The 26,647-nt window shown below is 38.4% G+C and overlaps 1 protein-coding gene across 20 annotated transcripts in view; it reads left to right on the top strand.

The window, feature by feature from the left end:
* The window catches only part of CFI (complement factor I), a 71,018-nt gene that overhangs the window by 38,153 nt on the left and 6,218 nt on the right, over positions 1 to 26,647 (top strand). For 3 of the 20 annotated variants that reach the window (NM_001440988.1, NM_001375278.1, XM_047415653.1), the window contains exons 4-13: positions 2,155 to 2,330; positions 3,211 to 3,324; positions 3,467 to 3,577; positions 5,888 to 5,911; positions 6,064 to 6,084; positions 11,344 to 11,379; positions 14,245 to 14,348; positions 14,526 to 14,629; positions 17,345 to 17,625; positions 21,252 to 21,356. In NM_001440988.1, coding sequence (NP_001427917.1) covers positions 2,155 to 2,330; positions 3,211 to 3,324; positions 3,467 to 3,577; positions 5,888 to 5,911; positions 6,064 to 6,084; positions 11,344 to 11,379; positions 14,245 to 14,348; positions 14,526 to 14,629; positions 17,345 to 17,625; positions 21,252 to 21,356 — 1,076 coding nt within the window. Of the gene's footprint in view, positions 1 to 2,154; positions 2,331 to 3,210; positions 3,325 to 3,466; positions 3,578 to 5,887; positions 5,912 to 6,063; positions 6,085 to 11,343; positions 11,380 to 14,244; positions 14,349 to 14,525; positions 14,630 to 17,344; positions 17,626 to 21,251; positions 21,357 to 22,464; positions 23,153 to 26,647 lie in introns of those variants that run through there. The other 17 variants (NM_001375284.1, NM_000204.5, NM_001375281.1 and 14 more) reach the window with 14 other exon arrangements.

Here is a 26,647-nt window from a genome sequence, read left to right as displayed (position 1 = left end):
GTTTGCTTTTGGTTAACTTTGTGTTATTGATTTTCTTATTCTGTGTGGTTAGAGAATATCCCTGTATGATAACAATTTTTTCAAATATTTGTTGAGACTTGCTTTGTGGCTGAGTATTTTTCAAATGCTCCACGTGCAGGGTTCTAGATAATAGATATGTTACTCATTATTAATAGAATTAGCTGCTCTGTTTAGATCTTTCTCTATTTCTTTACTTTCAGTCTTCCTATATCTTTAGATTTTAAGCATGTTCCTTATAAACAGCACATATCTAGATTTGTTTTAATTCAATATTACAATCACTGTTAACTAAAGAGTTTAGTCCATTTACCTTATTATACTTACTTACATTGTTGAATTTATTTTTCCTCTTGTTTTTAGGCTTATTATTTACCCTGCTTTTTGTGTGCTTTTGTCCTTTTTCCTTTTATAATTTCTACTAAATTAAAGATTTTTAAAAATCTTTCCTCTTTTCCACCTCTAGTTGGTTTGAAAATTATGCATTATATTTCTACTTCTTTAGTTACCTTTGAACTTATACCATAAATCATTGATTTAGGAAGTCCTCACCTTCAGTAATAATAGAAAAAAATGTAATTAACCCATCAAGTTTCTAATATTTAGTTCCACCTTATTTTTCTATATCCCAGAAGTTAATCACTATGATGATATAATAAGCCATTATCACTACTATTAAGGCAATGCTTACTCAGATTTACTTCATGTTTACCAACTTCTTGGTTTGTTCTTTCTTGTATCTCACCCCTTCTTTCTGAATTCAATTTTCTTCTTCTTAAACCACATCTGCTAGTAGTTCATTAGTGAGAGTCTCTTATATTGTTAAATTAAGCCATAGGCTATTTCTGAGTTTCAGCAGTTTGTTACCTACAACTTATGGTTCAACCTACTGGTAGATTCTCTCAGTATTTTATTTCTCAGTATTTTGCTCTTATATTTTGCATAAGCTCATGAACAGACATCTCTAATTTTAACCAGTGCAGATTTCCCTTACTTCCTTAAGAACTCATTGAGGAAGAAGATGGCATTTTATATAGTATTTTTAGATATTTTTAGGTTGGTACGTTTTTCAGATTATTAACCTATAAGATTGCCTCAAATGGCTCTTGTTTGTTCTCATGGCACAGCCTCATGATCTGAAATAATTACAAATCTTGGCTTCACCTTGTTTTATTTTTGCTTTTTATCCTAGTTAGTCTAATATTTATATTGTCATTACTGTTCTATTTTTGTTTCCATTTACCTGATGCATCTTTGCTCAATTTTTTATTTTTAACCTATTTTCCCCATTTACTTCTAGAGAGAAGCAAGGAACAATTGAATGTCCTAGAAGAATAGTTCACTGTAAATCATCATCTCTAGGATAATACGTCACTGAGGAAGTCTCTTCTCACAAATTCTGAGCAAATTGAGAAGTCCAAGCAATGGCACACAGATGCCAAAATATCACCTTAATACTGTCAAGGCTGAAGTGAAGATGTAGCTTACTGTAAAAGCAAAATTGACCTACAGGAATTAAACTAACCTAACCTTCCAAGTCTTAGGCAATAATTGAACCAACCAGCTAAAGTTTACAGCATGGGGCAGGCAGAGAGATTCCCAAAAGGAAAAGATGGAAATTTTTTTTTTTTTTTTTTTTAGACAGAGTCTCACTCTGTTGCCCAGGCTGGAGTGCAGTGGCACGATCTCAGCTCATTGCAACCTCCACCTCCTGGGTTCAAGTGATTCTCCTGCCTCAGCCTCCCGAATAGCTGAGACTACAGGTGTAGGCCACCACACCCAGCTAATTTTTGTATTTTTGGTAGAGATAGGATTTTCACCATATTGGCCAGGCTGGTCTCGAACTCTTGACCTCAGGTAATCCACCCTCCTTGGCCTCCCAAAGTGCTGGGATTACAGGCGTGAGCCACCACCCCCAGCCAAGTTTTAGTTAATCTTTACAAAACCCAGTGAGGTAGTTATATTCCCTTTTATAGATGAAGGTACTGAGGCTCAGAGTTTCGGTATCTTGCCCAAGCTGTAACTCCTATATAGAGAATGAGAGGACATTACTCTAGTTTCTTACCTGCTACAGTAGGGTTATAAATGCAAAGTACTAATTATTCTACCATAATGTTTCCTTTATTCTATTTGCAGAGGTGCTGATACTCAAAGAAGGTTTAAGTTGTCTGATCTCTCTATAAATTCCACTGAATGTCTACATGTGCATTGCCGAGGATTAGAGACCAGTTTGGCTGAATGTACTTTTACTAAGAGAAGAACTATGGGTTACCAGGATTTCGCTGATGTGGTTTGTTATACACAGAAAGCAGGTTGGTGGAGTATTTGCCTGTTATTTTCCCTTCCTTGAAGGTTGTTTATTTTACACCAAGCCTATAGTAAACAAATGATTGATGCCTCGTTGCCAGTCACAGAGGCAATAATATAGATTCTGTCAAGTTTTGGGCTTTAGAGTCTAAATTGGTACCTTTCCCCTATTGTACCATTTTGCCATTCAAACATTGCCTCTCTACAGGTTCACATATGGGAAGCAAAGTTGCCTGACTCCCCTTGCTTCATTTGAACATCTGGATTAAAGTTACTGTAGCAAACACAAGTCAATCAAACATAAGAAGAAAGCTCAGCATCTCCTTTAAGAGGGCCAGCATATATGAATTTATTTAAAACCTTTAAGTGACCACATTGGTGCCTCAGTTTTCAGGCATTCATTGAGACTTTTCTCCTCCTTCCTGACACTGGAATATTTTAGTCATACATGTAGTTTTAAAGACCAAACCTATACCCACTCCTTTTCAGTGCTAAAAAAAAGTACCACCAAAATGTAAACAAATGGCACTAACCAAGCAAGTCTTGGGAGTAGGGGTGAGGATGAGTATAGCAGCATGAAAGAAATGGGTGGAAACCAGTGTTTGTCAATGTCAGCACGTACTCTTGATTCCTCCCCATCTCAGCAAATATAGACTTTCACAATTAATACTGACTTTCAGAGATAATAGAAGAGCCTCCATAAGCCAGGTTTGACCTTTATTTTCTGTATGAGTCATATGTACTATGTTGATAATACCAATACGTTTTATACATTTTTTTGAAGTTTAACTTTCTCTTAATGACTCCATTATCCCAAAAATCTGATAAGGATGTCATGCCACCACTCCATAAATAAATTTCACAAAGATAATTCCTGCTTTACAGATTCTCCAATGGATGACTTCTTTCAGTGTGTGAATGGGAAATACATTTCTCAGATGAAAGCCTGTGATGGTATCAATGATTGTGGAGACCAAAGTGATGAACTGTGTTGTAAAGGTAGACATAAATCTAGCCTCTAAATCCTCTAAATTCATTTTTCTGACTAAAAGAGGAAAAGCAACTTTACTATTGAATTTTATATTGTACCTCATTCAACTTTAAGGAATGAAAAAAACCTCTCCTGCTTATGTTTGCACAGCATGCCAAGGCAAAGGCTTCCATTGCAAATCGGGTGTTTGCATTCCAAGCCAGTATCAATGCAATGGTGAGGTGGACTGCATTACAGGGGAAGATGAAGTTGGCTGTGCAGGTAATTGAAAGACTTGGGGTGACTTTTTTTCATTATTGAATCCAGGGATTCTGAAACTTTTCTTTAGGTAAAGTATAATCTTAAGGGGAACATAGATGGGTGTAGCAGTAAGAACACTGAGTGGGCATTTGCAGAACTATGGAATGTTCATCTCCTCATATTTTCATCCGCTAAATATCTACTTGTTATTTCAGAACTTTCTATTAAAAGACGGTCTCACTGCACATACAAAAAATAGACCATTAGAACCAATCCTTAAGTACCCATTTTCCACCTGCAAGTTATTGATAGTTTGCCAATCTTGCTTATCTCTCTTCCAGTTTGTTTGTTTGTATGTTTGTTGGAGTATTTTATTTTATTTACTATTACTTTTTTTGTGATGAAGTCTTGCTCTGTTGCCCAGGCTGGAGTGCTGTGGCACAATCTTGGCTCATTGCAACCTCAACCTCCTGAGTTCAAGTGATTCTCCTGCCTCAGCCTCCCAAGTAGCTGGGATTACAGGCACCTGCCACCATGCCTGGCTAATTTTTGTATTTTAGTAGAGACAGGGTTTCACCATGTTGGCCAGGCTGGTCTCAAACTCCTGACCTCAGATGATCTTGGCCTCCCAAAGTGCTGGGGTTACAGGCATAAGCCACCACACCTGGCCTGTTGCAGTATTTTAAAGTAAATTTTAGATATCATATCACATCATTTATATGCATCTCCAGTGATAAAAACACTATATATATATAAAACCATTCATTCTCTCATTTGTATATCTAAAATCTATGTTAGATATAATAATTCACTATAATAGTAATTCACTAACGTCATTTAATAACAGCCATGTTCAAATTTTCTCAACTATCTCAAAAATGTCTTTTTTGAATGAATAGATTCAAATCAGGATCTAAAAGAATCTGAATGTTCTGTTTGGTTATTACGTTTTTAAAGTCTTCTTTATTCATCAAGAGTTATCTTCCCCACCTCCCTACCCCAATTTTTTTCATACTATTATTATTTTTTTTTTTTTTAGAGAAACTGAGTCGTTTGCCTATAGTATACGTCTATTCTAGATTTAGAGAGACTTGATTATAACCAAGGTTTTGAGCTTCGAGTCAATGACAAATGAACACTTTTTTTTAAGAGCAAGGTTTAATATTTTAGGCAAGAATTCTTTTTATTTTCTTTTTTTGAGACAGAGTCTTGCTTTATTGCCTAGGCTAGAGTGCAGTGGCACAATGTAGGCTCACTGCAACCTCTGCCTCCTGGGTTCAAGGGATTCTCCCACCTCAGCCTCCTGAGTAGCTGGGATTATAGGCATGTGCCATCACGCTTGGCTAATTTTTCTGTTTTTAGAAGAGACAGAGTTTCGCCACATTGGCCAGGCTCGTCTCGAACTCTTGGCCTCAAGTGATCTGCCTGCCTCGGCCTCCCAAAGTGCTGGCATTACAGGCATGAGCCACTGTGCCCGGCCTTAGGCAAGAATTCTTGATGAGTCTTGCATGTATTTCCTGTTACACATAATGTCTTCTTGTCTGGTTGTCCCTCCTCTAGTGATGCTAAGATGATTACTTGATCAGCTTGGTGTGTCCATTTCAAAGTGCCCCACAATCTTTTGCCTAATGGTTTTAGCAGCCTTTTAAATTGTTGCCTATGTCCATTTTGTCAATAGGGCTGTAAAATGGCAATTTCTAATTTTATCATGCCTATTGCACTTATTAACTAGAAATCTATAGAGAGGCAGAATAATGCTTCATTTTTTCCTTTTACTTACCAAGTTTCAAAGCAATGAGTTGGTGCTCTGGATAACCTCCAATGGTGAAAAATATTCCTTATGTACCTATTCTAGACTATACAGACTGACTCTTTGCTTCCATCAGTGCTTTCTGGAGGAAAAATCTCTTTAAGTTATATTTATTCATTTACTTGATGAATATTTATTCAGCTGCTACTGTGTGTGCCAGTCCCTGCTCTAGGTGGTGGGGTTCCATTAGTGAATAACATTTCAAAAATCCCTGCCCCAGCCAAGTGCAGTGGCTCACGCCTGTAATCCCAACACTTTAGAAGGCGTGTTGCTGGGATTACAGGCATGAGCCACTGCACCTGACCTCCTTTTATCTTTTTAAAATCTGTTTCAAAAACACATTTAGCCAACTATCATTGTTACTTCAGTTTACTCTTATTTAGGGATGAGCTCTGCCTTTGCATTTTAGTAATGCTTCTAACTATTAAGTTGTACTAGTCTGAAATTTAATAATTTGTGCATATTTTATTCAAATCAAAATGATCTCTTTGCTATAGTGAGTTTTTTGTTTTTTGTTTTAGCAGCTAGACATCCTACAATTCAAGGTAAATCATTTTTATAATAGAAAAATTATATTACCGAAGAAAACAGAAATAAGGTGCAATGGTTTTCATGATATATGTATAGTATATTGCTATAGTGTGCATTTTTTCCAAAAATTATCCTTTGATAAATTTTTTGTTTTTGTTTTCTTCAGGCTTTGCATCTGTGACTCAAGGTAAAATTTTTATTAAAATTTGGGGATATTAAAAAATTGAAACAAAACTCAGGTTCTTTGGTCTTATATTTTAATGTAACTGTTAATGGAGCATGATATGACCACATTTTAGTAATAACCCAGCCTGAACATTAGTTTAGGCGTAGAGGCCTTTTCTCAGTGTGATAAACTTTCACTCTCACACACCCCATCCACAGCCTGCTGACCAAAACACCATCCAGAGTGGACTCTTCCCTGCACATTTCACCTTTGCCGAATACCTTTCTCTTCATTTTCTCTCAAAATCAAGGTAGCTCCTCAAGAAATTGCCACCTGAATAAAGATAACATCTTTTCATGATAGGCATTTTCTTATTTACTTCTATCAGTCAGATGTCCCCAAATGCTCTAGCTCTTTGGGACCACCCTTTTTAAAAATATTCATGTAAACTGCCGGGCGCGGTGGCTTAAGCCTGTAATCCCAGCACTTTGGGATGCCAAGGCGGGTGGATCACGAGGTCAGGAGATTGAGACCATCCTGGCTAACACGGTGAAACCCCATCTCTACTAAAAATACAAAAAAAAAAAATTATCCTGGCGTGGTGGCGGGAGCCTATAGTCCCAGCTACTTGGGAGGCTGAGGCAGGAGAATGGCGTGAACCCGGGAGGCGGAGCTTGCAGTGAGCCGAGACCGCGTCACTGCACTCCAGCCTGGGCGACAGAGCTGGAGTCATGTAAATGTAAATGTAAAATGACTCATATCCCCAGTTCATATAACGTCAAAGTTCATGATCCTCCTCAGAATTTCTTTCTTTCTTTCTTTCTTTCTTTCTTTCTTTCTTTCTTTCTTTCTTTCTTTCTTTCTTTCTTTCTTTCTTTCTTTCTTTCTTTCTTTCCTTTCTTTCTTTCTTTCGAGACGGAGTCTCGGTCTTGTACTCGGTCTTGTAGCCCAGGCTGGAGTGCAGTGGCCTGATCTCGGCTCACTGCAACCTCCACCTCCCGGGTTTAAGCAATTCTCTGCCTCAACCTCCCGAGTAGCTGAGATTACAGGCACGTGCCACCACACCTGGCTAATTTTTGTATTTTTAGTGGAGATGGGGTTTCACCATCTTGGCCAGGCTGATCTTGAACTCCTGCCCTCGTGATCCACCTGCCTCGGCCTCCCAAAGTGCTGGGATTACAGGCGTGAGCCACCTCCTCAGGATTTCTTAGGATTCCTGAGGGACTGGCTAGCTCAAGACCACCCTTTGCTCTAAATGCCTATTATTTCATTGCATTCTCTCACTTGTCATTTTGCCCTCTGAAGCTGCTGTTCCTCCTCCTCCTCTTCCTCCTCCTCCTCCTTCTTCCTCTTCTTCTTGTTCCTCTTTTCTCTTCTTCTTTTCTCCTTCTTCTTCCATCTCTTCCCTCGTCCTCCTCCTCCTCCTGCTGCTTCTTCTCTATTCCTTTTTTCCCTCCCTCCCTCCTCTTTTCCTTCCTCCTCCCTCCCTAGTTTCAGATCTCAGAGGCAAAGTGATGAGTTAATGATACTCCTCAGCTCCTTATACATGATCATCAGGGGTCAAGCAAGGCCCCTGTCTTGTTTGACTCATTTATCCCTCTTTATCACTATACCTTACTCCCATTCCTCTTCCCCAATAGGCAACCATTTTTCAGTGGTTTAATATGTACGTTTTTTTGTTTGCATGCATTCTTATCCAATGTGTATTGTTATTTTGCAAGCATACATTTTTTACTCACATAGTATTGTGTTGTAGATCTCTATTTCCTTTTTTTCTTTTCACAACTCATTACATTTTAAAGACCTGTCCATGTTACTGTGTGTTCATCTAATTTGTTGCTTCTAACTGCTGTATAAAATACTCCACTGTGTTTATCTTGCACAATTTACTCTCCACTTTCTCAGTAATGGACTTTCAGCCCACAATCATACTGTGATGAATATCCTCTCCTTAAGTATGTGTGGGAGGATTTCTTCGAGGCATCTAGCTGGGCAAGTGTCTTCTTTTGTCTTGCTATAACACAATACCACAGACGGGGTAATTTATGAAGAAAATACATTTATTTCTTACAGTTTTGGAGGTTGTGAGGTCCAAGGTCGCAGGTCCCACATCTGTCAAGGGTTTTCTTGCTCCATCACCCATGGCAGGAGGTTGAAGGGCAAGAGAGCAACGGAACAAGAGGAGTCCGAACTCACTTTTGTATATAACAAGCCCACTCTCACTACAGCTAACCCACTCCTGAGATAACGACATTAATCTATTAATGAGGGAAGAGCCCTCATGACCTAATCCCTTCTTATTAGGCCCCACTTCCCAACACTGTTGTGTTGGGGATTAAGTTTCCAACACATGAACTTTGGGGAACACACTCAAACCATAGTAGCAAGTTGAATCTTAGAGTATGCATATCCTTAATTTGATTACTAGTGCCTGTATGTTCTTTGGCAGTGCTGTTATATACCAGTCCTTACTTCCACCAATAATGCCTGCGGGTTTTCTTCAACCCCACCAACATCAAGCGTGTTTCTCCAGCTGTCAAGTGATGGCATTGTTTATTAACTTCAATTTTTATATTAACCAATGATTCTGAGTTTCTCTTCATGTGCATACTAGCTTTTTAGTTTCATCTTCCTTTTCTCTGTTCTTTCACTGGTTCACATCCTTTGCTCAATTTTATATTTCTTTCATTGTAATCTTTCTTACTGATTTGCAAGGGTTCCTTTTACAGTCTACAAATTAGTCCATTGTCAGTTTTAAACATTACAGATACCTTCTTCCATGCTGTCTCTCATCTGTGAACTCTATCCATGTGAGATTTGTTGAATAGAAATCCATAATTTTTATATAATCAAAGGTGTACTAGCTGTTCTTCTAATACCTAGTACACCTCAGCTTTGATTATATTAAATCAAGTTAGTGCTGTTCTTCTAATACCTAGTACACCTCAGCTACACTGGACTTTCTCATCTTCCTTTGTTGGGCATTGAATGTGAATATTTGAGTCTTCTCTGATTCACAAGCGTGCTTTTGTGAATGCATCTGAGCAGAGCCTCTCTCTACCCCAGAAAACAACTTAGGTGTGTGGCATAACAAACACTCATATGCCTGTCCCAAAGAGAACTTAGCAAATTCAGTGAGAAGACACAGGATTGCAGCAAAGTGACGCTGCCATTCTGGGCTATGTGATCCCCAGCCATATCCTCATCCATGACAGAGCAACATGTTGGTGGGAATTCACCTTCAGATCCCCAGGTCAAAGAAATCTAGAACACAGAAATGTTCTAGAATGGCAGAGCAAAGATGAAAACATCTGGTATAACTTCAAGAAAAAAATCTAAAAAAAAAAAAGAAGATTCTTTTTTTTTTTTTTAACTTCTGCATCCCAGATGCCTAATGCTAACCCATACCTGTACAAACTGAGAGGAGCCTTTTTCATGTCAGCTCAGGACTCCCTTGGCTAGTGCTGATGACTGCTCCCTACCTTATGTTAACACCTTGGGAGGCCAGGCACAGTAGCTCACACCTGTAATTCCAGCACTTTGGGAGGCCAAGGCGGGTGGATCACGAGGTCAGGAGTTCAAGACCAGCCTGACCAATATGGTAAAACCCTGTTTCTACTAAAAATACAAAAATTAGCCGGGCATGGTGACGCACACCTGTAATCCCAGCTACTCGGGAGGCTGAGGCAGGAGAATCGCTTGAACCTGGGAGGCGGATGTTGCAGTGAGCCGAGATCGTGCCACCGCACTCCAGTCTGGGCAACAGAGTGAGACTCCGTCTCAAAATATATATATATATATTTTAAAATACATATTTGATAAAAATATCAAATATATAATATATAATATAAAATTATACATTAGATAATATATAATATAAAATTATACATTATATAATATATAATATAAAATTATACATTATATAATATATAATATAAGATTATACATTATATAATATATAATATAAAATTATACATTAGATAATATATAATATAAAATTATACATTAGATAATATATAATATAAAATTATACATTAGATAATATATAATATAAAATTATACATTATATAATATATAATATAAAATTATACATTATATAATATATAATATAAAATTATACATTATATAATATATAATATAAAATTATACATATTATAATAAATATATAATAAATATATATTATAAATATTTATTTATATAATAAATATATATTATAAATATTTATTTATATAATAAATATATTATAAATATTTATTATAAATATTTATTTATATAATAAATATATTATAAATATTTATTATAAATATTTATTAATATAAATATATATATAAATATTTATTATATAATAAATATATTATAAATATTTATTTATATAATAAATATATATTATAAATATTTATATAATAAATATATATTATAAATATTTATTATATAATAAATATATATTATAAATATTTATATAATAAATATATATTATAAATATTTATTATATAATAAATATATATTATAAATATTTATTATATAATAAATATATATTATAAATATTTATTTATATTATAAATATATTATAAATATATATTATAAATATTTATTTATATAATAAATATATTATAAATATTTATTTATATAATAAATATATATTATAAATATTTATTTATATAATAAATATATATTATAAATATTTGTTTATATAATAAATATATATTATAAATATTTATTTATATATAAATATATAATAAATATATATTATAAATATTTATTTATATAATAAATATATAATAAATATATATTATAAATATTTATTCATATAATAAATATATAATAAATATGTATTATAAATATTTATTTATATAATAAATATATATTATAAATATTTATTTATATAATAAATATATATTATATAATATTTTATATATATATACAAAACACCCTGGGGATGCAGAGAGTTGAAATAGAAGCCTTCCTCTTCTGGGCTGTGCATTTTGCGTGCTCTAACTACTGGAAACTGTGACACCATGAGTCTCAACATTCACTAGTACCAACAGATATCTCTAGTTTGTGCCAGCAAGAATTTCTATACAGTGCATCTTGAGCCTTTACAATTACCTAATTATAGAAAGGAAATAAGATGACATGCCTTGGGGATTTTGTACAGTTCTTTATAAAAGGGAGGATAAGTTTTAAGGCAGAAAATTATAATCAGTGTTTAAATGATTTTAATGATTTCATTTTGACTATAATTAACAACTTTAAACATTGGAATCTTTTGTTTTATCATAGAAGAAACAGAAATTTTGACTGCTGACATGGATGCAGGTAAGCTAACGTTATACTTTTTTATTGGTGGCTCACTGGTTTAGGCTGTAATTTCAGTGTCATTTGCATATATATAATTGATTCAAGCAACAAGTAGTTTTGGTATCAATTTAAATTAAAAAATATAACATTATTATTCTCCTTTCTCTGTCACTTTTAAGAAAAGCAAGCTTAAATGATTCTTGAGAATTGCTTTTAAAACTGGATTAATTCATATGGCTAATTTTGAAATGAAAACAATACTCCAATCATACATAAGCTTTTTCTATTTAAAACGAACTTTGTCAGGTCAGTTTTGTGAAAAAACAAGCAGCTCTCAAGCATGACTCATGACATAATTTTTTGAAATAGAAAAAATAATAGATGTTAATTGAATTAACCATTCTTTCACAATGTTTTAAATCACGGTAATAGGAGACCTTTGAAGATCTGTACCTTGGCCAGTTGTGCGCTAAAAGCCAAATTAAATTAAAGTATTAAGTTCCTGGGAAGATAGCAATTGATTAGAGATTTCTAGTCAGACAGACTTACGTTAAATTCTGACTCAGTTATGTATTAGCTATAAAAACTTAAGAGAGTAACTCAACCTCAAATACAAATTGGGAATAAAATAGCTCCCTGTTTCAGTGGGATTTTTAAATGAAGTTCATGTAGACTTCTTTCTAATTGTCAGTAACCAAAATTAAGTAACAATCTTTAAAAATCAGGCAATGAGTAAAAGATTTAAGGCTGGGCACAGTGGCTCAGGCCTGTAATCCCAGCACTTTGGGAGGCCAAAGCAGGCGGATTACTTCAGGTCAGGAGTTCAAGACCAGCCTGGCCAACATGGTGAAACCCCATCTCTACAAAAATATAAAAATTAGCCAGACATGGTAGCAGGTGCCTGTAATCCCAGGTGCTCAGGAGGCTGAGGCAGGAGAATCGCTTGAACCCGGGAGGTGGAGGTTGCAGTGAACCAAGATTGTGCCACTGCCCTCCAGCCTGGGCAACAGAGTGAGACTCCATCTCAAAAAAAAAAAAAAAAAAAAAGATTTAGCTCTCGAAGCTATAGATGTTAGTCAAAAGGCATTTTCAACAATGGCCCTTTATTTTTACTCAGAATAACATTCATTTTCAGATACTACCTAAGTTGGTTTCACAGTCCTCAGAGCATGAGATCCCTCTTCCTTCAAAAGTGTAAGCAAAAACTTACCATCACACTCTTCCCCCACCCCAGTTCTTAGGATGGGTGAGACCAAAAAAAACCATCTTCTATCCATGTGTTTCACAGTGGGCAGGTTCACACAAATCAGCCCCCAAAGTCTAAGGAAGCTGAGAGGCCAAACAAAGAGGCTGACATGTCCAGTTCCTTAGAAAGAAACATTTAATAGGGACTTACTAATGGAAGCCAGGTCTGTGTCCTGGACAACAGTGAGACAAGATGGTGGATCCTTGTGCTAGTTCTCTCCCGACTCAGAGATTATATACTGTAGGGGAGGGGCACACAGGCTTCAGAGCTAATGGGTAGGAATTTGCCATAAGGCCAGGATTTATAGTAAGTACATGCTCTTATACAAGGAATAATAGATAAACTGGAAATCTCAGAGGCCTTCCCGGAATTGGGGTTAATCAGAAGCTAACATGGCAGATTAGTATCCAAGATGAAGTTGCTTTAGCCTCCATACAACAACGGCTCTTTCTTGGGGGCCTAACTCCTTTCGGTATGCCCAAAATTATTAACAGCAATATTCATTTTCCTTTCTCATCTGGGGCTAAGAAGCAAGTTTACAAAAATTTTCATGACATGTTAAAATATAGAGAGGAAATAAAGGGATATATTTTACTTTCTTCAGTCATCATAAATTCTTTGGAAAATTCAGGTCATAAACTTTGCTCTACCGTGTTTTCTCATGACAAATGCGCCAGACGTCTGCATGCTCACAGACAGAGGAAGGAAACATTGTCACATGTCAAATGGCTAAAAAACACTCCCCAGCCCGCTAACCCACTTGTCCCGGGGTCACTGGCACATCATCTCTCAGGGTTAATAGGATGATTAAATGAGATAAACTATATACAAAGACTCAGTATGGGGCCTGACATATAGAAAGTACTTAATAAGAGTATCACTATGTTAACATTGATATTAATATAAGAGTTCCATATAAACAGCCTCTAGAAAATAAAAACTATGGCTGGGCGTGGTGGTTCACCCTGTAATCTCAGCACTTTGGGAGGCTGAGGTGGGCAGATCACATTAGGTCAGGAGTTCGAGACCAGCCTGGCCAACATGGTGAAACCCCATCTCTACTAAAAAAACAAAAATTAGCTGGGCGTGGGGGTGGGCGCCTGTAATCCCAGCTACTTGGGAGGCTGAGGCAGGAGAATCCCTTGAACCCGGGAGGCGGAGGTTGCAGTGAGCTGAGATCGTGCCATTGCACTCCAGCCTGGGCACAAGACTGAGACTCCATCTCAAAAAAAAAAGAAAGAAAGAAAAGAAAAGACACAGTTTGCCATGTTGTTAGTTTACCCTGATGATTTCAGAATGTGATTCCCTTCTGAGCTGCCACTGCCACAGTGCCTGGACATGTGGCATCCTTTATCAGCTAGAGGCTGGTAAATGTTTAACCTCTTGGCCAGCCCTTTTCTGCCACTAGTCTATCTTTAGGCAGAACTTCAGAGAATCAAGCCAATTTTAATATCAAGCCAGAATTTTTAAATAAGATGAATAGTATGGTTTAGCATTCAAAATAATTTACTAATGATTCCAGCCTGTCTTGTACTGGCTGTGACTCTCCTGTTTTTGTGGCATAGATAATCAAGAAGTGTGTTAAAAACGCTAATGGGTTCAAGATAATAATGATGTAATCTCTTCCTTTCTTGAAGAAAGAAGACGGATAAAATCATTATTACCTAAACTATCTTGTGGAGTTAAAAACAGAATGCACATTCGAAGGAAACGAATTGTGGGAGGAAAGCGAGCACAACTGGTAAAGTCGCATGAAAAGTCACAATGCAACTGCCCAGAAACAGCCTAAATTTGGGGGGAAAGGGGCAGGAGGATGATGTAATTATAAGAGACTGGGAGTCTTGCCATGGAAATATCTTAGGGCTGTTTGTATCGCTATCTGTTAGAATGGCAGTGACCACACAAATGTCTTTTACAGGGAGACCTCCCATGGCAGGTGGCAATTAAGGATGCCAGTGGAATCACCTGTGGGGGAATTTATATTGGTGGCTGTTGGATTCTGACTGCTGCACATTGTCTCAGGTAAAAGATGTCTTCAGTAAATTTTAGATTTCCCGAAACAATGAAAGTGAGTAATAGAGATTGTGGCAGATGATAAAGCATATCTGAAAAAGGTACTGACAAACTCCACTATATTAATTGCAAAGTATCCTCTGGTATTCGCGACTGGAATTCCAGAGGCTAATCCCGTAGAATCTACTGTGTCCTCCACAGACCAAAATTGCTGATCTCACTGGCAAAGGCAGATCAAACCCATAGCTGCCAAATTACTTCACCTGGCTTATTTGCAAAGTGGGAGAGTGGGTAGGTACTACTTACATTTTGTTCTCCACTGTGGCCTACCTATATTTTCTTTACTGTGTGGCTCAAGAGTCATGTTGCCATACCTAGTTTTGATTACTTGTCACCTAAAATGCAATGACTTTGCATTCCTCTTAGGATAAGAATTGAAACAAAAATTTTAACATGGCCCATGAGGCCCCATGTAATCTGACCTCTGCTAACCTTTGCCAATCTCATCTTGCCCCACAGAGCCACCTCCTGCTCCCTGTTCCACCACCTCTACTCTGGATTGCTTTCTGCTACTCAAGTGCATTTGCCCCCTCCTGCAAAGGGACCTTCATATATTGTTTCCCCTGCCAGAAATGATCTTCCTTACCCTTTTCCCTACTTAGTCGTACCCTTTGTTCAGATCTCAGCTCAATCTTCACTTCCTTAGGGAACCTTCCCTGACTCCCTTAAGTCAAAGCCCTCTTGATAAGTTCTTAAAAGCCCACATACTGTTCATTCCTCTCACTTTTCATGGTAGAACATATTATTTTCATCAGTGTGATGATCCATTTACTGCTGCATCTTTCCCTAGATCGTGAACTCCATGAAAGCAGGAACTGTTTCTGATTTTGCTCATTTCTGCATCTCAGTGCCTAACACAGTGCCTGGTACATATAGGTTCACACTAAGTATTTGTTGAATAAATTGACTAAATAAATAATATTTACAACCTGTGATCCTGAAAAACAATCAAAATTAATATGAAGGACAGTATTCTTGGAACACTATAAACAAAAGCTTCCTGAACATCTCATTATTTCCTAGGACACCACCTTTTAAGGTGGTTACCTGAATCACCCTTATGTAAAGATAAATTCTGTTCAGTTAATGCTGTTTGAGAAAGCAGAAGTTATATAGATCAGGGATACTCTACCCCTGAGCTGCAGACAAGTACTGATCTGTGGCCTGTTAGGAACTGAGGTGAGTGGTGGGCGAGCATTACCACCTGAGCTCCACCTCCTGTCAGATCAGCAGCAGCATTAGATTCTCATAGGAGTGCAAACCCTATTGTGAATTGCACATGTGAAGGATCTAGGCTGTGCAATCCTTATGAGAATCTAATGCCTGGTGATCTGAAGTGAAAGCGTTTCATCCGGAAATCATCCCCTCCTCCCCCGAGTTTTCCACAGTTCCATGGAAAAATTGTCTTCCACAAAACCTGTCCCTGGTGCCAAAAAGGTTGAGGAACACTGATATAAATAATACATTTTTTGAAAAGATTTCCATTAAATTGTTTAAAAATAAGTTTTATTGCTTAAGAAAAATCCATTCTGTAAAATAATTTATTGTTTGGAAATGTTAGACTATGAGGTCATAATTTAGCACCCTACTTCTAATCAAACCAAAAAAACTAAGCTATAATACTTTGCCGAAGTGACTCTATACTGTTCCATGAGAAGATGATGGTAGATGCCTGATTTGCTTGAAACTATGAGTTGAAAATTGATAAGAGGCCAGGTGCGGTGGCTCACGCCTATAATCCCAGCACTTTGGTAGGTTTGAGACCAGCCTGGGGAACATAGCAAGACCCCATTTCTACAAAAAAATTTTTTTAAATTAGCTTAATGTGGTGGCACATGCCTGTAGTTCTAGTTACTAGGGAGGCTGAGGTGGGAGTGTCTCCTGAGCTCAGGAGTCAAGGCTGCAGTGAGCTATGTTCACACCACTGTACTCCAGCTTAGGCAAAAGAGTGAGACCCTGTCTCTGTTTTAAAAAGAAAGAAGGGAAGAAAGAAACTTGATATGAAAATGTAGTGAAGCATAAGAATAGGCAATATTTAGCTCATTCACCATTTCAACAGGATTTTAAAACAGCTACTATGATCCAGATATAATAGTAGGCACCAGGGCTGCACAGATGAATCAGACCCCATCTCTGGCTTCAAGCAGCACAGTCTAGTGTGAGGAAAGGCATGTGAACAAATAAATACAATGCAATGTTAGGATAAAGTTAGTCTTAAGGGTCAGGATAATGACTGCTGTGGCCTTTGCCCTGGGAACCTCTAGGGTTGGCAGAGTAATGAGTGTGTGTGGTCCAACTCCCTAGTTCCTTAACTACATTTATGGCAAGATGCTGTCTGGTCTCTGCTTAAACACCTGCAGCGACGGCACACTCACTCCAGAGGCAGCAAACTCATTCCACTTTTGGGCATCTCTAGTTGTTAATGTGTTCTTTATGTTCCTCATATTGAGCAGTTACATGGATTATTCCTAGCTTTATCATTTACCATTGACCTAATTCTGCACTAAGTAAATTTAATCTCATTGCTTCATGACAGCAAGCATTTACAAAATTCTGGGGAAATGAAAAAGGTTTTTAAAAGGGAAAAATATAAAAGTGAAGTGTCAGAATTCCTATTTATATTTTTTCTCAATATATTTTATTTCCTTTTTTTTTCTGTTATAGAGCCAGTAAAACTCATCGTTACCAAATATGGACAACAGTAGTAGACTGGATACACCCCGACCTTAAACGTATAGTAATTGAATACGTGGATAGAATTATTTTCCATGAAAACTACAATGCAGGCACTTACCAAAATGACATCGCTTTGATTGAAATGAAAAAAGACGGAAACAAAAAAGATTGTGAGCTGCCTCGTTCCATCCCTGCCTGTGTCCCCTGGTCTCCTTACCTATTCCAACCTAATGATACATGCATCGTTTCTGGCTGGGGACGAGAAAAAGGTATATGTTTTACAGTTTGTTAATCAGAAGCCATGAGTTGGAAATGAAAGAGAATAGAAATGTATAGGAGCTAATTTCCTAGCACTCAGAGAGAAGCATAACATCATATCCAGAAAAGTAAACATCCAGCCATGGCTGGCTTCATGGGTTTGCAGCATGTGCAGCTGCCCAGCACCCCATGCTCAGAAGGCCCTGAGGCTTGATTTATTGCTGTGTTGTCACCAGCATGAAATTCTTCATAATTTTTGAAATGGCCCCATTCCACATTTCCATTTTTCACTGGACTCTGCAAATTATGGAACCAGTCCTTATCTAGGCTTTCAAAGGTCATATATATTCTCTCTATGATCCTGTGGCAAACTTTGAAGGGTAGCCATTCACCAAGAAAAAAATATAGAGACAGGGAGACATACAGCATGGACTGTTTGGATTTGTTGGGGAGATGTGGGTAAAAGATAAAAAGGTTTACAAAGGGATAGCCTTGGTGTATGTTGAATCGCTGATGCCCACAACCCTCCTTCTCACTCCCCTCCTCCCTCTTTCCCTATTCCCCAGCACCTACCCTCTCTACAAAGAAAAAAAGAACATAAGGAATTCATTTTTTGAACTTCTAAGAAGACTTGTGGTGAACACTTCATACGAATAAAAGATGTGGACACTCAGAGACAAATTCTTAGAAAGATCTGCTGAATTAGAGATTAGATTAGAATTAAACTAGTCAACACCTTTCCCTTCATCTTGAAGATTTAACCTTGGGCTGGGCATAGTAGCTCATGTCTCTAATCCTAGCACTTTGGGAGGCCGAGGCAGGTGATCACTTGAGCCCAGGAGTTTGAGACACTGTCTCTACCAAAAATTTAGAAATTAGCTGGATGTGATGGTGTGTACCTGTAGTCCCAGCTCCTGGAGGTTGAGGGGGGCTGAAGTGGGAGGATCACTTGAGCCCGGGAGGTTGAGGTTGCAGTGAGCCATGATTGTGCTACTGCAGTCTAGCCTGAGTGACAGAGCGAGACTCTGTCTCAAAACAACCACAAGCATAACAGAAAAAAAGGAAGATTTAACCTTAAAATTTAGCTTCCTTTCAACATCTTAAATTCTCTTTGATAGCAGAAACTCTAAGTACCTTCATTGCATTGGTCTTTTAGACTCATATTCCAACACATTCATTATAATTGCCACATTGGAAGGTGTAAAATATATGTAGAAATTAATCTGGATTTGTGGTATGTCTGAATACCTAAAACTTCTAAAACACCAAATTGTATTAGGAATTAATTCATCAAGAGAGTATTGTGTCCTTATACTTGTTCTGTTTTTTTAAATCTTTTATTATGTGCATTTACAAGTATACACAAAAATAGAGATTAAAGTATAATAAACCCTTACTTATCCATCATCCAATTTTCACAGTTATCAGCATTCTGTCATTCTTGTTGTATCTCCCCATATTAATTGGGGTCTCAATGGAGCAATTAGGAAGATTTATTTATAAAAGGGTTCATTACAAAGATATACGTAGGGGGTTGGGGAATCACAGGGGCTACGCAGGTACCCAGGACTAGAGGTACCAGAGCTGTCTTAACTCCTGGATCTGAAAGCGGAAGAGTAGGAGAAGTTACTAGATGGAGAAAAAGTCTCAGGTAGAGCAGGCTGCCTTGAGAGAAGCAAGGATCTTGAGCTGAAGGGTATAGCCAGTCCCAATCTCACTAGCCTACCTCTTTCCTTCCCTCCCTCCTGCTAGGGTCCTCTTTGTCTAAAACCACCTGGGAACCAGAGGCCACAGGTCAGGCTCTTAGGGCAGGATGCACGGCATTGAAGGGTGGAGAATGGTCTGAGGCACATTCAGGAGCTATTCAACATATTCCCCCACATATTTTTCCTGGAGTATATTAAACCATATCCCAGATGTCATATAATTTCACCCATGAATACTCCAGTATATATCTTCACCAGATAAGGACACAACACCATTTTCATACCCAATAAAATAAAGCCCATGTTTAATATTCCTCATTTATTTTTAAAAATATTTTTATAATCAGGTTATTTGAATCAAGATCCAAACAAAGTCCACACATTGCATTTGGTGGTTATTTTTCTTAAATGTTTTAATCTAGAATAGTTACCCCTTCCTTTTATTTAAAATTTAATCATTAAAGAGAATGGGTAATTCTTATTTTGGAATTCCCATACCTTGAATTTGGCTAATCACATTCTTTATCTGGATTTTTTTTTTTGAGACAGGGTCTTGCTCTGTTGTCCAGGCTAAACTGCAGTGGCACAAACCTAGCTCACTGCAACCTTGAGCTCTGGGGCTCAAGCGATCCTCCCACCTCAACCACCAAAGCAGCTGGGACCACCATGCCTGGCTAATTTTTGTATTTTTTGTAGAGATGGGATTTTGCCATGTTGCCCAGGATGGTCTCAAACTCCTGAGCTCAAGTGATCCTCCCACCCTGGCCTCCCAAAGTCCTGGGATGAGCCACTGTGCCCAGCCTGATCTAGCATTTAACATGTTCCCTTATTCCATGTACTTCATATAAACTGATAGTTAGATATGTCCTTAATCAATGATCAAAGGTTTAACACATTTATTAATAATGGTTTAACACATTTATTGAGGATTTACTATGTCTGCAAGATAGCAATGCTAAAGTGCTAGGATTTCACTGATGGAAAATATGGACCCAGTCAACAAACAAGGGGATGAATAAGTTCCATGGCTGAAAGATGAAGTCCAGCTCTCAAGGTGTTTACTGACCACCTTAAAGTCTAGTAGTTAAAATTCTGCCCTTTCGCTGCCTCAGCTACCGTCGGAGAGCTGCCTCAAGAAGCTTACAAGAGTGCCAAGGCACAAACTATCTCCTGGGCCATTAAGAATTGCTCACAGTTTTAAAGGCTTTTCCCAAATTAGAGGAAATAAGAAATTACTATTTTTAAAAAAGCTCTTGTTCTAAGGAAGGCAGGTGTCTTGAGACTAACTTGAAGTAGAGCTTAAAGGAAAAAAAAAATAAACTCCTTCCTGGCTGGGCACGATGGCTCATGCCTGTAATCCCAGCACTTTGGGAGGCTGAGTGGGGCAGATCACTTGAGGAAGAAAATCTTAAATCCCCTTTTAAATAACTTCAAATCACTTAGGAGATGGATTTTTCTTCTCAGACACACAAAAACACACAAACATTGATAACTTCGTATGTATTTCCTTTATTTGAAGTTCTTATATTAAAACATTGTTTTTGCTTTAACAAACATTCTCAAGGAAATAAGGGACTGTGAGAAGATAGGAGGTATTTATGTGAAAAGACCTTATCACTGATTCCTATCCAATTGCCTGACTGAGTTCTGCAACCAAAAGGGAAAGATTTATCTCATTCAACTTAAGGTACCAGCTCTTTATTAAATGAATGTGACTTCAGACCATATGTTCAATAGTCCCCCTTGACTATCCATCCAATTTTAGAAATAGACATATGATATGATTAAACACGCTAAGGAAGAGTTCTCAAAAATTTATATATATTGAAAACTATACACCCTTTCATAATCCCAATGGTTTAAGTTATGAGAGTATGTATTTAGATTTCTCATTTGTGACTTCTAAATGTTTGCTTTCTCACTTTGTTTAGATAACGAAAGAGTCTTTTCACTTCAGTGGGGTGAAGTTAAACTAATAAGCAACTGCTCTAAGTTTTACGGAAATCGTTTCTATGAAAAAGAAATGGAATGTGCAGGTAAGTGCCAAGTGGTTTATCCAAGATGTCAAGATGTATGTATTTCCCCTATCAAACATCTCCTCCCACCACATCAGCCCCCATGCTTTGGGCCCTAATTCCCTCCATTTGGCCTTCTGGCTGTAGCACTCTCAAACTCTTTCAGTCCCTTCCCTGTAGCTCAGGTTTCTTCCTCTAATACTATGAGGAAAAATCCTCCTTAAGCGATTCTATAGCAGCACAGCAAGGTGACTAAGAGCACGGCCTCTGGAACCAGACCTAGATTTATATCCCAGCTTTTACTAATTGCTAGTCATGTGACCTTGAGCAGGTTTCTTCATTTGTAAAATTGAAGATCATAGATAAGGCATCTGAGATGCAGAGCAGTTACATAATTTGTCCAAAGTCTTACAGACAAGAGGTGGTACACCCAGGATCAAAACTAAATTACTTTTAAATACAAATTCAAGTTATCTCATCTCAAATGAGATGAGATTTACTTCCATTTGGAAGTAAATTTTTCCCTCCATGGAAATCACAGCGCATTTCTTACGCCACGGACTCCTTTGATAACATGGTTAAGCTAATTCTACTGCCCAATACAACAATAGCAGCTCCTACTTTTGGAGGTGATACAGAGGCAGGCAAAGTACCAGCCAGTGTAGTGCATTTAGGTGCTTTATTGAAACCATTTCTAAATGGTGTATTACTGAAAAGGCAGTTATTGACATCCTATAACTTACTGGTTACAGTGATTTAAAAATCTCAGAAAATCATGAGTAAGAAGAAAGTGTCCTCCCATCTTGAAATGGAGTTCAGGATTACAGTGGACAAAATAGGTGAATAGCACAAAATCTCCCAAAAGGGAGTATCATGGTCAAGAGGACAAGCTCTGAGGTGTGGTTGCCTGGGTTCAAGTCCAGGCCCTGTCGTTTGTTAGCTGTGTGACCTTAGACAAGTTAAACTCCGTGTCATAGTTGTCTTATGTATAAAATAGGGGCAATAATGATATTTGCCTCATAGGGTTGTGGTAAGAATGAAGACAATGAATGACTAATAAATATTTAGCACTCAGTAAGCACTAGGCAGTCCCATCATTTTCCTACTCAGCATTTGATGCAACTTTCAGGTTGCAATCTCATCTCAGTACTCAGTCGTATAAAGTAGAGAACACAGGAAGAACATGCTGAATTGGGGGAATAAATAGAAGACTCGTAAAGAATTTTCCAAGCTGCATCTCTGCAACTCTGCAAGCCCAGCCAGGGACTCTAAGGAGAGCCCATGCTATTGCTGTCAGGAAACTGTAAAAAAGCCAAAGTTGTTAAATGCCATGGAGGAGGCATGGCAGCCTTGAAAAATGGAAGGAAATGTGTGATTTTCTCTTTCACATTTCTTTCTTAGGTACATATGATGGTTCCATCGATGCCTGTAAAGGGGACTCTGGAGGCCCCTTAGTCTGTATGGATGCCAACAATGTGACTTATGTCTGGGGTGTTGTGAGTTGGGGGGAAAACTGTGGAAAACCAGAGTTCCCAGGTGTTTACACCAAAGTGGCCAATTATTTTGACTGGATTAGCTACCATGTAGGAAGGCCTTTTATTTCTCAGTACAATGTATAAAATTGTGATCTCTCTCTTCATTCTATTCTTTTTCTCTCAAGAGTTCCATTTAATGGAAATAAAACGGTATAATTAATAATTCTCTAGGGGGGAAAAATGAAGCAAATCTCACTGGATATTTTTAAAGGTCTCCACAGAGTTTATGCCATATTGGAATTTTGTTGTATAATTCTCAAATAAATATTTTGGTGAAGCATACAAGTTTTATTTATCAGAAAATTTTATTAAATTATCTCAATGCGGGAGTGATTTATTGACTGAAGTTACAACTAATTGAATAATGTTGGACTTACATAAGGTTGGGTTCAAATCCCAGCTCTATCACCTACTATGCCCTGGACAATTTATTGTCTTCTTTGTGTCTCCTTTTCCACCTATAAAATGGAAACTGGAATTCTGTGAAAATGAAACTACATACTTACATAAATGTTTGGCATAGTACCTGTCACAGGGTAATAACTGACTTCACAGCTCTTGTCCCATTTCCCTGCTTCCTCTTTATTTCTTTCTCATCTTTTCTCTCTTTCCTTCTTTCTTTCTCTCTTTCTCTCTCTTTCTTTCTTTTTCTCTTTTCTTTCTTCTCTTTCTCTCTTTCTTTTTTTGAGGCAAAGTCTCCCTCTGTTGCCCTGGATGGACTGCAGAAGTGCCATCATAGCTCACTGCAGCCTTGAACTCCTGGGCTCAAGCAATCATGCCACCCCAGTCTCCCGAGTAGCTGGGATTACAGGTGCACACTACCATGCCTAGCTAATTTTAAATTTTTGTAGAGAGGCATCTTGCTTTGATGCCCAGGCTGGTCTTGAACTCCTAGGCTCAAGGGATCCTCCCACCTTGGCCTCCCAAAGTGCTGGGATAACATGCGTGAGCCACCACACCAGGCCCCTGCTTCTTTAAGTATTAACATTTCTTGAAAAATTAGCCTTTGCTCCCCCATTTCACAAGCATTCCTTGACCCTCTCTCTAAACCTATCCACAGATAATTCAATACAACCACCTACCTCCATGGTGTCAGACCTCACAGTCACTTCTGTTCTCATCGCAGCAGCATTAGCCCCTCAGGGCATCACACTCCTCCCTCACTGCTGTTCTCAGCCTCTTCCTTCTGGTTGCTTCTCTCACTTTGCCTTTCCCTGGTAATCTCATCTAGACTACGTTTTAAATCCTGCCTACAGTCCGGTGACTCACAAATCTGGATCTTCAGCTCTGACCTTTCCTAGAACCTCAGATTAGTATATGCCACTGAACACTAGTATATACCATTGCCATGTGAATATCTAGTAACATTTCAAAAGAAAAGTGGTCAACCCAAACTCAACAGTTGCACTTTCTTAACCTACAGAAAATAGCACCCCCACCCGACCCCAAGGCTATTGTAGGTGCCCAGTCTCCCTCTGTCACACCACCTACTTTAATCTCAGCATAGTACTTTTCTTCCCCCAGTGTATTCTGTTTTGATTGGGTTGTCTACCTCTTCTCAACACTGTCTCCTCCAACTACAACATAAGACACATGACAAGAGAGACCTCATTTGTCTTCCTTCTGGCTACATCCCTACCACTTGCCTCATAGAGGCTGCTCAGTGAATAAACATTAGCTACTCTTTTTTTTTTTTTTAAGCACAGCTATCTTTATCCTGAAGACAGACATATATGTTTCACATAAATATTCCCTTTATTATTTTATTTAGGGCCAGTCTTGGATAGATCCCTACTGATTTAATAATATAAATACCCATTTTTACATATATTCCAAAATCAGTTACTGCCCAGATTTTCTTTTAAAAATTGTGGTAAAATATGTATAACATAAAAGTAACAATTTTAACTATTTGTAAGTGTAAAGTTGAGTGACATTAAATACATGCCCATTGTTGTACAATCATTATCACCATCCATCTGCAGAAAATTTTCATCTCCCCAAATTGAAACTTCATATCTATTAAACAATAACTCACCACTCCTCCCTCCCATGCTGCCCAGATTTTTCATCCATTAAATTCAGGAAAGTATTTGGTTATTTATTGCTGGGAAGTTCCCCTTCCAGTCTCTCATGCTGTTGCCGTCAGACAGGATTGGACCAGAGTTATCACGAAGGCTTATTCACTCATGTGTTTGGTGCCTGGGCTGGGCGGACTTAGACAGCTGGGGCTTCTCAGATATGTCTCTCTGCACTCTCCCCATGGGCTCTTAACATGGCAGGGCCGGGGGCACCAGACTTCCTACATAGCAGCCGATGAGCCTCCCAAGAGAAACTGCAGAACCTGCATGGCCTTCTCTAACCCAGCTTTGGAAGTCCCTTAGCATCACAAAGACCTGCCCAGGCTCAAAGGAAAGGAAATAACCCATCTCTTGATGGCGGCAGGGAGGAGGTGTATCAAAGAATTTATGGACATATTTGAAAACCACCTTGTCCTGACTCAGCAATCCGGGAGCAACGCAGCACCTTAGAATATGTCTGTGTATGAGATAAAAAGAGAAAAGTGGCTGGGCGCAGTGGATCATACCTGTAATCTCAGCACTTTGGGAGACCAAAGTTGGTGGATCATTTGAGGTCAGAAGTTTGAGACCAGCCTGGGCAACATAGCAAGACCCCATCTCTATCACACACAAAAAAAGCTGGGAGTGGTGGTGCACATCTGCAGCCCCTGCTACTTGGAAGGCTGAGGTGGGAGGATCATTTGAGCCCAGGAGGTTGAGGATGCAGTGAGCTGTGATTGCAGCACTGCACTCCAGCCTGGGTGACAGATCAAGACCTCGTCTTAAAAAAAAAAAAAAAAAAAAGAAAAGTACTCCAGTGCTACAAGGTGGGAAACCCAGCATATAGGGCATCCTCAGCCAATCTAGGAAGGGGGCCCCCAAAAGGGCCAAGCCAGTCTGCACAGTGACCTAGCATCTGGCAGCTTCACAGAAAAGTAGACCAGGGTCAAGCCTTGAAGGGTGAAAGTCAGCCCTCTGAAGCGACTCTATGTGACAGAGACCAGGAACAGCAGGAGTGAGATGACCTGACTCCAAGCTTCTCCTAGTTTAGAGGTCTGTCTCAGCGCTCCTAATTCCAGACTACAGAAGCCAATCTAACTGGTTTAATGAAAAAATAGATTTATTCAAAGATATTATGCAGTTCACAGAATTTCCAAAAGAGCCAGAGAATTGGAGTCTACACATCTGGAAATAACGCTCACAGACCACACTGCAGGACTGCTCCATCAGAGACTACCATGGCCACTAGCATGGGTCCCAGTCTCCACGTACAGCTTGTACTGCAGAGCCTGGGCACTGGACATTGCTGCTTCTGTGAGCTCGCCTGAAGGTGGCCAGGGACACAACTCATTGGATGTGGAGCTCTGCCATCGTCTTATATTTAACCCTGGTTTCAGAGCTCTCTGTCTTACAAGAGAAATGGGAAAATAAATTATGCGGCTGCACCTTGCCAGGTACAATGGTAAGGAAAACTAAAGGGAGATCTAGAAACCAGCCTGACATATTAAAGAGGGCTTCTGCAGAGGTGAGCTTAGTCTGAATTATGGAAGAACTTTCCAGGCAGATACAAATGCAAAGGCCCTGCAGTGTGAGGAGCTAACCACACACAAGGATGGAGAGCAGTTCATAGTGACTGGAGCCCAGGGTGCAGCTAAGGAGCTGGAGAGGGGGAAAGGCCATACCAGGGAGAGCCTCATACCAAAGAGTTTGGACCATT

Source organism: Homo sapiens, chromosome 4, assembly GCF_000001405.40.
Source record: "Homo sapiens chromosome 4, GRCh38.p14 Primary Assembly".
Classification (NCBI taxonomy): Eukaryota; Metazoa; Chordata; class Mammalia; order Primates; family Hominidae; genus Homo; species Homo sapiens.
This window is presented reverse-complemented; position numbering and strand designations above follow the sequence as displayed.